Source organism: Homo sapiens, chromosome 9 (assembly GCF_000001405.40).
Source record: "Homo sapiens chromosome 9, GRCh38.p14 Primary Assembly".
In the NCBI taxonomy this organism is placed as follows: Eukaryota; Metazoa; Chordata; class Mammalia; order Primates; family Hominidae; genus Homo; species Homo sapiens.
The window spans coordinates 119,297,106-119,310,744 of NC_000009.12; the positions used below are offsets into that span (position 1 = coordinate 119,297,106).

A 13,639-nucleotide genomic window follows, 5' to 3' on the forward strand; every position below is an offset into this window, starting at 1 on the left:
TACATATGTCAAAACATCTAGTTGCATACCTTAAGTGTATACAATTCCTATTCATCAATTATACTTCAATAAAACTTAAAAAGAAAAGAAATGGATAGTATTTTAGCAATTATTTTGTCCAAAACATGAATATTATAGAGGGAATTGAGGCTCAGGGTTATAATATGCTCAGGTCACAAGGTGGATGATACAGTGTTGAGGACAGAGGAGGACACGGGCTCCTTGGTTCCCAAGGCTGCGCTCCCTTCACCTTCTCAGCGCCCTGTATAGCCAGTGGTAACGAGCACAGACTGTGGAACCAGATTGCCTGGGTTCAAATCAGAGTTGTGTGACTTCCCAGCTGTGTGACCCTGGCCATATTACTTTTCTGAGCCTCAATTTCCTCATCTGTAAAATGGGTTAAAGGCTACAGCTGTCACAAGGGTTGCACTCAAGTATAAATGACTTAATAGAGCTATATAAGCTTTAGCTAATAATACCATATTCTGTATCATATCACACAAGTTTATTCGTTCCATTCTTTTTGTTTTATTTTTCAACTTCCTTCTTGGTTCTGAAATGAACCCTAACAGGATTCTATTTTGGACTTTCTCCCATTATCCTGCTCATTTAGGTTCAACTGGCAGCATCAGGGCTGGGCTAATTATACGGTAAGACAATTCTGCCTCCTGAAACCCCTGGTCTTTAGTATTATTTTCCTTTCCCTTTCTAATAATTAATAATAATAATAAAATAATAACAAATGCAGGTTGAGCTGAAACAGAGAAAGAACTTTGTTCTGTCTGCAGGAACTGCAATGCAACCTCCATTTTTCTCTTGCTGACAAGCATCCGGGCCTGGGTGCCCCAGTGCCTTTTCGTAAATCAAAAGAATATTGAACTCATTATATTGAAGCACAAGTTATCCTTTCATCAGTCAATTTGTCTGGGTCAACTATTCTCGCACATTTATTCTGGACATCTAAAAGATAGGACATCTAACAGTCCGTCTCCAATATTACAACTGCTGCTCATTTTGTTATCCTAAAGTGATAGTCTGAAATCAGACCATTTGAATGCAATTATTAGGTACCAAAGCACTATCTTCCATCAGAGCAGGGAAAGGAATCCAAAGTCCGTCCCTCATGCCTGTAAACAGGAACAATAGGGCCCATATTTACATGACAGTGCATGGTTTACCAAGCACATTTACTTTCAGTTCCTCTTTTGAGTATTACATTCTACAGCTCTGTTGGGGGCTGGGGGGCAGGTAAAGATAAATTCCTCTTTAAGGAGAAGGAATTTGAGGCTCAGATCACTACTCAAAGATCTAATATAGAATGAAACAAGACTTGAATGCTTAAATTCTTTTACAGATTGAGATTTCCCCCACCCCTCCCCTTCTTCCTTGTGTTCAATAACCAACTTTCAGAGTATTCTCTCAAGTTATTTGAACATGTCAGCACATGACTCAAACTGTGCCTTAACTCCAAGTCCTATCTTTATTCCATGTACCTAGCATCAAATACCCGCAGCCTCTCAGCCCCTTGACCTATTCCATCTCAATGACCTTCACCCCATCCTCTTCCAGGCCCCTGCTTCCTGCCATGATTACTCCAGAACTTGCCATCTCCCAACACCCTTCTAGCTTTGACATAGTGTATTAAAACATTCCAGTCTCTAACTAGTCTATCACAACACCAGCTTTTTCACCTTTTCAAGACCTCTAGGCCCACAACCCTCTCCTTTCCCTTTACATACTATTACCTGCTTTCTTTTGTATCCAACTTAGATTCAGTGATCCACCTATGCATTTACTTTGAGCCAATACTTTTTTTTTAAAGGTAAGTATTTATTTTAACTGAGAAGTAAAAATTGCATATATTTTTGGTATACAATCTGATGTTTTGATGTATGTATACATTGAGGAATGGCTCAATCAAATTAATTAATATATGCATTACCTCACATACTTATTTTTGGTGGTAAGAAAGCTTAAAATCTACTATCACATTTTCAAGTGTACAATCCATTATTATTATTATTAATTACAGTTTTTAAGTATAGTCACCATGTTGAACAATCGATCTTAAATTTGTTCTTCCTATCTAACTGAAATTTTGTATCCTTTGACAAACATCTTTCCAATTCCCCCACTCCTCAACCGTAGACCCTGGTAACCGCCATTCTACTCTTTGCTTCTATGAATTTGACTTATTTAGTTTCCACATATAAGTGAGTACAAGTGGGCCGGGCGCGGTGGCTCATGCCTGTAATCCCAGCACTTTGGGAGGCCGAGGCAGACGGATCACCTGAGGTCGGGAGTTCAAGACCAGCCTGACCAACATGGAGAAACCCCGTCTCTACTAAAAATACAAAATTAGCCTGGTGTGGTGGCACATGCCTGTAATCCCAGCTACTAGGAAGGCTGAGGCAGGAGAATCACTTGAACCTGGGAGGCGGAGGTTGCAGTGAGCCGAGACTGCACCATTGCACTCGAGCATGGGTGACACGGCGAGACTCCGTCTCAAAAAAAAAAAAAAAAAAAGTGAGTACATGTGGTTATATGTCTTTCGGTGCCTGGTTCATTTCACTTAACATAATGTCCTCCAGGTTCATCCATGTTGTTGCAAATGACAAGATTTCCTTCTTTTTGAAGACTGAATAGTATTCCATCATGTATGTATACCACATTTCCTTTATCCATATGTCCACTGATGGACTCAAGTTGACTCCATATCTTGGCTATTGCGAAAAATATTTCCCTGAATATGGAAATGCAGATATCCCAACTGCATTACAGCCATTATAAATTGGTGATCACCAACCTTATCCAAGAGTTGTTTCTTAATGATCCTTCTGTATTTCCTTAATCACATTCTTCTAAAATTCTTTAGATTTCCAAGTTTCCCCAGACACTATCAAAACTTTTGACACTCCACAGTACCGCCTTCCTCAGTGATTCGTTTCACACCCCACTTCACAAAGAGAACAGAAGCCTTCAAATCTTCACAAGTGAAATCAATAGATTTATCTGCACCCACACCTCTCCTTCCCTTCTTTCCTCCTATTTCAACAAAAGGTATCTCTCCTTTTACCCCTACTTGTGTTCTTACTCTTTCCCTTCCTGCTACTTCAGGAATGGCTTCATCAAAAATAACCCTGTTCTGATGGCTAATGGGTACAAAAAATAGAAAAAATTTTAAAAAGACTTAGTATTTGCTAACACAAAGTGACTATAGTAAAAAATAATTTAATTGTACATGTAAAAATAACAAAAATAGTATAACTAAACTCTTTGAAACACAAACGATAAATGCTGGAGGTGATGGATACCCCATTTACCCTGATGTGATTACTATGCATTGCATACCTGTATCAAAATATCTCATGTAACCCATAAGTATATACACGACTATGTACACACAAGAATTAAGAACAAAAAATTAAAAAATAAAAAATAATAACCCCACTGTGTCCCACAGTGTCAGTCTCTTCCCTCTCTTAATAGTCCCCTCCTTCTTAAAGCCAATGAACATAAATAAAACTTCATTTCACATCTCTGCTTCTTTTCATAGCCATGCTTCTTTTTTAAAAAAGAAAAAATAATAAAATCTCTACTCCCTTTTTCTCACTTCTCAACTCACTACACTCTGGCTTATATCCCTAACCCTTTGCTTAAACAGCTCTTGCCAAGGTCAAGACTTTATAAAAGACTATTTTCAGTTCTTGCCTTATGTGCTATATCAGAAACTACAGCTATTGATTACCTACACCTTCTTTCTTAAAAGATTCATTTATTTTTGCTTCCATGGTACCAGCCATCCCTGATTTTCCCGCTGTACCACCAGCCATTCCTCAATTTCTCAATGCTTTACTCGGCACCTACTAAACAGGTTCCTTTGTGAGTGAGCATAGCTCCAAGTGTTATCATTGGTAACCTGATAACTCCAAATACTGTAACTTTTTATCCCAGCTCTCTCTGCTAAGGGTCAGAACCATTTATACAACCACCTACTAAGTCTCTATTTGAATGTTCCAGGTAGTTTAAATTCAACATTTTCAAAGCTGGCTTATCATCTTCAAACATGGATAACCTCAAAAAGTCTCCTTGTCTTCCAGGGCTCCCCATATTAATGAAAAGCACCATCACCCACCCAGCTGACCAAGTTAAAAATGTTCCCCTTCTCTTTTCCTTACTTAACCTAGACCCAGTGGATTTATTACTTAAGGTATGGTTTTGCCAGTCTCCTTGCCTCTTGACTATTTCTTCCTTGTCAACTTTCATATTCAAACACTCACCAAATACTGAGTCTTCTGTCTTTCCTTAAAGTATCTCAGGTTATGACCATTTACATAATATTTTGAAAGAATAAAATCACAGAGATGAAGAACAAACAAATTAGTGGTTGTCAAAGGTTAGGGGTTATGGATGGTAGAGGATGAGAGAGAGGTTTGACTGTAAAGGGCTAGCATAAGAAACATCTTTGTGGTGAGGGAGCTGTTCTGTCTCTTGATCGCAGTGGTGGTTACATGAATCCACACATATGGTAAAATGGCATAGAACTATACACACTCTGTGTATATTATACCCATGTCTGTCTCTTGGTTTTGATATTGTACTACAGTCACATAAGATGTAACCATTGATGAGAACTAGGTAAAGGGTACATAAGACCTTTCTGTACTATCGTAGCAACTTCTTGGGAGTCCATAATTATTTCAAAATTATAACTTAAATAAATATGTATCTCAAACATCAACTGATGCTACTTTATTCCAAGACAGTTTCCTCTCTCACCTGGATGACATACTTTGCACCGTCTCCCATCTTTCACCCATTAATCTATTCTTTCAATTATAACAGAAGTGATCTTTGTAAGATGACAACCTGATCATGCTCTACCTCTGGGCAAAACTCCTAGAAATCCCTATTGTCATTAGGATGTAGTTCACAAATTGTGGCTGAGAAGCCATGCACTGCCACAGCAAACTCACAGGTGCACAGCAGGATATTTTAAGTGTTCAAGGCAAACGAAGGATGCTTGATATTTATTGGGCATCACAAGAACATCTAACTTGAGGTCGTTCACAGTTTCAACATTAGAACACAATACATTCCTTTCAATGTTAGTATGTGTGTGAAGCTGGGTTTCTGGCACTTGGTACAATTTCAAAGTACTGCAAAAAATTAATAAGGAAGAGAAAATGAGGATGATTTTATCTAACTGTAAAGTTAGAGAAGTAGTAAATGTGATTAAGAATAAAATGAAAATATTGCCTTTTGTTTAGATTTTCATGTATTGTTTTTTTCAAATAGCCACTAAATTTGTCACAACAGAAATACTTCATTATTAAATTGTTTGGATCTAACTACTTATTAAATAGTGTTATTGGTATTTTTGGGGGGGCCTATGGGAATCATAAAAAAAAATCATTGAAACCTTAAGAACATCTTGAAATGAGAAAGTGTAGGATCCATCACCTTAGAATAAAGTCTGAAGTCTTTTATATAACATGTACAGAGCTTCATGACCTGACCTCACTATTGAATTTTCTGGCGTGCATGCTAACATCTTCTGTGTCCATTACTTATGGTGAATTACTTGCAAGCTCAAGAACAAGTATCCCCTCCTCTAAACCCTACTTCAAAACACACACACAAACCTACTTAAAATATTTTCTTGGAATATTTCCTTAATCTTGCAAGACCGGCTCAATGCCCTTTTTTTGCACTATTACTCCATTTTATATTTTTTTTTCAACACTCCTCATACTAGGGGTCGATTTGGCTGCTTTTAGCATATCTCTCCCCCACTACCCTACAAGTGCTCCTGAAAGGCAGAGATGAATAATCCCTTGGTGTCATCAGAGGCTAACAGAGTGCATACACATTAGTAGAGACTCAATAAATATTTGTTGAATTAATGCACAGGTGAGCACTTTTATCTCAAACTGTTTACCAGCAGGGAGACTTATTTCTTTCATATCATTTGTATTTACCTACTTCTTTCTCATACAAAGCACACTCCCCCATGAATGTGATGTAGAACTAGGTGAGCTGGGTGTCATGCTAGAGTCGCAGAGAGGCTGTCACAAGTGCTCAGCGACGGAAGCTGTACCTTGCTGACTTTCTCTGAACAATAAACCTGCAATTTGAGGAAAAGCAAAGTTACCTACACCCCCCACCCCCACCACACACACACAGACACACACACACACACACACACACACACACACAGCCTGCCTTGAAATGCTGCTGATTGCCATGGATGTTCTTGGGTGAGAAGCAATCCCTGAGGGACAAATGTCCCCTGAGCATTACACATCAAAGACAACCTGGCGAGCACGGTGCAGTAGGAACTAGAAGACGAGATGTCACAGACTGTTCCTATCACCTGGGCTGATTAATAAATTAGACTCTCGCGAATCGTGGGACGTGCAAGTGCACTGTGTACATGAATCAATGTATGCTGATAGCTTAAAGAGACCTTGCCAGTATGGTGGCACGTGTTCCTCAGGGCATCAAAAATCTTTCTGTCTCTGGCGCTCTTTCTTTAGCTTCCTCCTAAAAAGCGTCTTCCTAGTATAAGAATGGAGCAAATGCTACCTTCATAGAGTACCTACGCTACAAAGCACACCAACCAATCATCCCCACTGCAGTTGTTGGAAGTCCAGTAAGACATCTCAGAGTCCCTGCTGCTGGATTTGCAGGGGTGGATACTTCAGGTATTTGTTTTAGCTACTAGTCCTCAAACATTTGCTCTATGCTAAAGACTATCTCTTTTTTTCTTTTTTTTTTTTTTTTAATTTTGAGACAGAGTCTCACTCTATCACCCAGGCTGGAGTGCAGTGGCATGATCTCGGCTCACTGCAACCTCTGCCTCCTCGATTCAAGGGATTGTCCTGTCTCAGCCTCCCAAGTAGCTGGGATTACAGGCGCCCACCACCGTGCCTGCCTAATTTTTGTAATTTTAGTAGAGATGAAGTTTCACCATGTTGGCCAGTCCGGTCTCAAACTCCTGACCTCAAGTGATCTGCCCACCTTGGCCTCCCAAAGTGCTGGGATTACAGATATGAGCCACTGCGCCCGGCTGCTAAAGGCTGTCTTATATTCTCTTCTTAAATCTTCACTATAATCTTGGAATTTATCCTTATTTTGCAGATGGAGAAATTGAGGCTCACATGGTTTAAGCAACGTGCCTAAGATTTCACAGGTAGTAAGTGGCAGAACCAGGATTCAAATTAAGGTCTGCCTGAGTCTAAAGACTTGCTAACCTATAGCGACCATTGTATGGTTCACAAAAGGTTACACACTAACTTGAGGCTGGAAGCTTCCATCAAGGTGAGCGGGGAAGAGTCAGGTATAGATAAAGGGTGGGATGCAAAGCCTTCCTCCAAGCCAGTCTGGGAATCCATAGCTAATGAGACCCAGTAATTCTTGTGCCCAGGAGGAAGGCCTTGAGAGATAAAGAAATTGCCCAGAGGCAGAAGCCTGAGCATTCTGGTTCCTTTTATTAGACATACAAAGGTATCCAGTAGCTGTAGAACTCTACATAAAAGAATGCATCCTGCCACAGGGTGCTGAAAATGGAATTGGAGTCTGTAAGCCTGGATGCTGCACGGGAAAAGGCTGCCTGACCAGTAGGTCTGCAGCCTGCAGCTGTTGGTGGCACTGATTGGTATTTGAGGGTTAATGAAACCCTTCTCCGCTGCCTTTGTCTTAGTTCCAGCACTCCCTTTCTCTCCCTTAAATTACTGCCACAGTTTTCTAACCCATCTCTCTTTCTCCCTTTCTCCCACTCCTCAGGCTGCTGCCCAAGCAATTCTAACTTTATATCCGTGCATGTCAGCTTCATGTTTCAAAGCCCTCATTGTTTTCTTTTTGCCCCCATCAGCCAAGGCACAGGTTCTAACCTGATTAACACAAACCCATTGCAAACTCTGCTAATCACACATGGTACAATTTTCCTCTGAACCAAAACACGACCATGTTAGTGCATCAGCATTTTAAAAAATAAATGAATTGTAAAGGAACACATTATATTTGAATGGAATAGAATAGAAGATATCTTGATATTTAAGAAGCATCACATGTAGTAAGGTTAAGTTTTTTTTCATGGATTTTTATTTCAATCATATATTTTTATCTATATTTCCAGCTAGGTTTATTGAGTGAGTGTCAAACTAAAATGTATTTGTTCACATGTATTCAGGTCAAAAATGTACAAAAACAACAACAAAGAAAAAACACTGTTCTAAATGGCTATCTAGTAATATTCTGCCAATTCACTAGACTTTAAAGATTGGTTGAAATCCATGTGCTATCTCAAATTTCTTTTGTTGTTGGCTTGAAGCTGCTCTCCAACCTTATGCCCTACTATCAGTACTACTCAAAATACACACAAAACACATGAAGACGTATAGTTCCAGGCTTTCTCCTGTTTCCTGACTTCACAGGTGCTATTCCACTTGATAAGGTGCTTCTCTCCTCACTGCATTCTCATGAATCCTAATCCTCCTTGAAGCCTATGTTCAACACCTCTTCCTCCAGCATGCCTTTCCAAACATGCCTCTTCCTCCTCTCCTTCCCCAACTTTGCCACCTCAATGCAATGTAAGTTCCCATTCCCTACACCCACAGAGCTTCAGTGGCATCTCTCAAGGCACATGACACTGTGGTTATTTGCCTTTCAGTCAGTCTCCCCCAAAGAGACCATGAATTCCTTGAGGGAAGGGATCAATGATTTCTTCCCTCTATCCCCAGGAAACAGTGCAGGGCCTGACTAGTAGGAGTTTAGAGATCAGTAAACATTTTTTCAAATGAGTGAGTAAGCTGCAGGTGCCCCAGATCACAGATCCAGTCTCTCTTTCTTCCTTGGCCAAGATTTGGAGCACAGTATTTGAAGCCCTAAGGGCTTTTCTCCATTTCTCCTCCTAATCTACCGAATCATAACAATCGCTATCTTTAGATCAGTTTAAAGACTCTGTATCAGTCTGTCCATAAGAGTGGGTGGGCAAGTAGGTCCATTTTCAGACACTGCTCGTGACAAAAGCTGGACAATTGTTCTGTAGAAATTGTAGCTGACTATGGTTTGTAACTCACAGAAGTCAGTTCAGTAATGGCATGGGAGCAAAGAGGTAAAACACTGTAAACGTACCAATTTGGTAGCAATAAAGCTATCATTTTTAGAATTGGAAGATCAATTTTAAATAATCAACACTAAAGATTATCTTTGAATTGGCACCAGATGGCCCAGAAAAATGTTTGCTGGATATCCTCCTCCACTTTTATCTATTCAGGGAGACCTTGATAAAAAATTTGGATTAAGCGAGGGATGTATGTGGGCTGGAGGGTAAGGGGAGGTACAGGTTCATGCCTCTCACCAATGCTGTCAGCCTTTAAATGGCTGAAATTGACAAACATGAATATGGGCCATCATCCCATTCTCATCTTTTGAGTCAACAAGGAATGTTCTGAAGGGAAGAAAAAGTGTCTTTTAACACACTTGGTCTAAGCCGGTTTTTAATGACACAATCCATGTATATCTGGACCTAACAATGGAGGCTGAATATCTTACTTCCTAAGGAATACTGTAGTCAGAGTCAAAAGGCACTAGAATTCCCAGAAGGGAGAATTTTCTTTTTTTGACTGGAGAGCTAGTTTGCCTTAACCACTCCCTCTATGCTAGAGAAAGCAAAAATGGATCCACCTCTCTTCATGCATTGAACTGCCATCCTGGTCTGTGGCCATGTCAAAAACATGGATGATTCTTTCCCCATTTTATTCTATGGACATACACTCTAGGAATCCAGTCATTACAGTGGTACCTATATTTAAGCCATCCCAATTCAAACTCATGAAGACCAAAATCTAAGACCATTTATTCAAATATTCTTCCCACCACTCTTTTTTTTTCTTCTTCCCCAGAAATGCTAGAGCAGGATTTCTCAACCTCTACACAACTGAAAGTATGTTGGATAACTGTTTGCTGGAGAAGGCTATCCTATGCATTGTAAGGTATTTAGCGGCATCCCAGATCCCTGCTTGCTACCCACGAGATGCCAGAAGCACCCCCAACAAACACCACCACCAGTTGGACACCAAGAATCTCCCCAAATACAATTGCTAAGTGTCCCCGTAGGAAGCAAAATTATCCCTGACTGACAATAATTTTTTTTAGCTCCTGTCTCTCCTAGACCAGTTAAATCTAAATACCTGGAGAAAGATCCAAGCATTAGTATTTTTAACTCTGCAGGTAATTCTAATATCCAGCCACTTATTTGCATATTGGATCAAAATTGTACCGAACTCAACTGTGGTTCTGCCCTCTATTGAGGTTTGTATATCTATACCACAGGGGGAATGCCAAACTTGGGAATTTGAAATGAAAAGGGGAAAGAAGAACAAAAGGTTTGTGATGAGAAAACTGAAGCTGATAATTTTTTTCCATCACAAACCAGGAGGTAGATTTAGACCAATAACTCAAAGCAAAAGCTTAACAAGAAGATTGCCTTCCTCAGCCAGTTAACCAGTTACTCAAAACGAAGAGGTATCCCTTTTAGTGTGCTCTGACGTAGGCTGGAATCCAAAGAAGCAATACGCAAGCTGTCAAATTTAAGCAGAGCCCACAATTCCCTGAGTCTGCTCACCAGAATTTCAATTCCTCTAAGAAAAAGAGGTTGTACGGTTAAAAAGATAGGGCCAAATACTGTTACATAGTCTAATATTAATAAAGGTCTGCGGTAAGAAGTCCTGTGTAACTTTGGGTTTTCCATGTGCAGGTCTATATCATTTGGGAGGCAGCTGGGCAAGGTCAAGGATGCAGCCTCTAGAATCACACATGCCTATGACAGGTCCTGCTGTATCACAAATTAACCCTTTCACTACGTACAAGCTGTGCAAATGGAGAGATAATAGCAATACCTACTGCACAGGATTATTGTAAGCATCAGTTGGAATAATTTCTATACCAGATAAAGTACAATGCTAATCACTTAAGATTTCAATATTAGCAATTAACTTATCACTGTTGTGATGATTATTGCTTCTTTGACTATGAGAGTCATCATGGAAAAATAAATGGGTGTTCTTTTTTTCCAGAAAACATCTTTTAATATTACATTGAACTAGAGTTCTCTGTAACATACATTAAGAAATGCTGATTTCGACTACTTTATGCCACACTAATAGAAATCTAGCTCTTTTACTGCATGATATCAAGATTATACCTGGAATCAAAAGCTGAAGGCTTCTTTCAAGTTCAAACACAAGCCCCTGGAGTGGGGCAAGGGTGGGCTTCTCTCTAAACTCCACTTGTCTGTAAGCTCCTTGAGGGCAGGAATCCTGTTCATCACAAGATAAACTCCCCATGTACAATATCTGGCATATCGAGATGCCTAATCTATACTCTTGAATGACTGCTGTATAAAGACCACATCTCATTCATCTTAGTAGAACCATTCATCCATCCCCAGCACCATCCATTTAGCCAAGTAGCTTTACCACAAAACCTATTATTTTTGTGAAACACACGAAGAAATTATCAGGACAACAGAGGAGGGCTGAGATCTATACAACTCTGAAATAAATATGCAATACAGCCAGGCAATTAGACTTGGCTTACCAAGATTTGATTTACACTCAACTTTCAGGTATATATTTACAGCTCAAAGGGAGATGCAACGTAAGCCACAAACCACTTGTTCTGCAACCAGCAGGGAAAACCACTCAATATGGAACCGCCTCTTGTGACACAGTGACCACCATTCCCAGAATCTCCCCTTTGCCCTGACTCTTCAGATCCAAAGAGTACCATAATTATTCTATTAAAACCATCTTTGAAATAATTGCTAAATTTACAGCAGCTACTGATGATCTCACAGTTAGGAAAAAAAAAAACAGAAAATAAAACACAAAAAGGTATTGGAAACACAGGAAAAATCTTTGGACTAACTGACTTTGAAATTACCATGAGAATAAAAGAATAATTCCTAGTAAACAACCAACATCTGAAGTGGAAGAGGGAACCACCATTCCGACATGCCTTTGTGAAGCTCCTGGAAAATTCTAAACTCTATATATTTGAAATCTAAGTTATTGCTCATCCCACTTGCATAAGGCATTTAATATCATCTCAGTTTCACAGAGGGGAAAACTGAGTCTCAGAGCGGTTGAAACTTGCCCATGGTCAAAGGAAGCCTGTTAGCATTTGGTAATAAATCAGGTAACTAAGAACCAGGGAGAGTTGTGACAGCATAGAGTTAAGGGCCCATGTTCGGAAGTCCCACAGACCAGCTTTTGAATCCCAGCTGTGCCACTTTCCAGTTGTGTAATATGAACAATGGGCTCTTAGTGCCTTTCTCATTTGTGATATGGGACAATAATAGTATTTCCCTTCAGAGTGTGGCTATGAGGAGTTAATGACTAATATATGTATAGTCTTAACAGAAAGTGAAAATAAGTTACTTTGTTAGAATGATGATTTAAAACTCTAATGAAAAAAATTCAAGCATAAGATAACTTACATTTTACAAGGCACTTTCACACAAACTGTATCTCATTGACCTAGTAGGTAGGGCAGACATCATTATCCCTTTCTACAGAGGGGGAAATTGAATATCTGAGCGGTCATTTCTATCCATGAAAAGATCATTGTTTCATTATTCACTTTTTATGCCCTCTGTCCTTCACTCCTAACTCTGAGCTGGGTGGAGGAGGGGGCGTGGGTTATGTGGGGATAGGAGGATATATGTTTGTAATCTATTGGGTTTTTTTGGTCATCTCTATGTTAGCGAACAGTAGTACAATTTATGGATAATGATTGGTGTTAAATTCTAAAACAATAAATGTATGAGTGAGTGAGTGCTGCATACATGAATTTTCCCAGGATGAGAAAGCTGGAAAGAGGCTCCAGAATGAACAAAACCTAAATCTCTAGACTCCAGACCCAAAATCCTTTCCACTACCACATGCTGTGTTTCCAAATGACACTATTTCACAGAATCATGGAATTTCAGAGATAAGAAGGACCTTGGAGATGACTTCAGCTAGCACTCCTATTTTACAGATGAAGAACCAAAGGTTCAAAGAAGTTCTGTTAGTTGACCAAAATCACACAATCAGGAGACAGGGGAGCTGGGTCAGCACCCGAGTTCCCTGACTCCGAGGTCAAAAGTTCTCCCACTGCACCCTGGCAGATTCAAGAGCAGAAAACTCCCCCAAGCCTTCAGGTGGCAACTCAAGTTTGTGAGTGACAGAGCATTTACGTCATGCCCTCAAAAGACTGCATGTGCACACACTGTTGCTTGGCTTGTAAAGCAACATGAGAAGAGGCTTCTGCTGGGTTTTAATTAAAAAGGTTCTCATTGTTGTCACTAGCAATGACTTGACCATGACTCTATGAGCAGAAGCCAGCCTCTGTGTACAAATGCAGGAGAAAGAAGATGGCCTTAACCTAGTTAAATAAGGAGAGAAAGCTTCTTCCCAGTTTCTTTCTGAAGCTTCCCAATCACCCTGGGTTCCAGCCAGGATTCTGGGGAGGAGGGAACTGGTGGAAGCTTGAGGTCTGGGCAGATCAGTAAAGCTGGCCCTCTAGCATCAAAAAATGTGCACTAGGATAGTCAGGCCTTTCTTTTTTTATGATGAAAATGTCAAGTTTG

General features: G+C 39.9%; 1 protein-coding gene across 1 annotated transcript in view, besides 2 other annotated features; it reads right to left on the reverse strand.

The window, feature by feature from the left end:
• BRINP1 (BMP/retinoic acid inducible neural specific 1) overlaps window positions 1-13,639 on the reverse strand; it is a 202,807-nt gene that overhangs the window by 130,477 nt on the left and 58,691 nt on the right. The gene's annotated exons all lie outside the window — the stretch shown is intronic.
• Window positions 747-1,276: an enhancer, noted in NCBI's record as "OCT4-NANOG-H3K27ac hESC enhancer chr9:122060130-122060659 (GRCh37/hg19 assembly coordinates)". NCBI's record gives its function as "activates a minimal SCP1, AML or CMV promoter by ChIP-STARR-seq in primed H9 embryonic stem cells {active_cell/tissue: H9 hESC(primed)}" and the evidence as "EXISTENCE:reporter gene assay evidence [ECO:0000049][PMID:30033119]".
• Window positions 1,277-1,805: an enhancer, noted in NCBI's record as "OCT4-NANOG-H3K27ac hESC enhancer chr9:122060660-122061188 (GRCh37/hg19 assembly coordinates)". NCBI's record gives its function as "activates a minimal SCP1, AML or CMV promoter by ChIP-STARR-seq in primed H9 embryonic stem cells {active_cell/tissue: H9 hESC(primed)}" and the evidence as "EXISTENCE:reporter gene assay evidence [ECO:0000049][PMID:30033119]".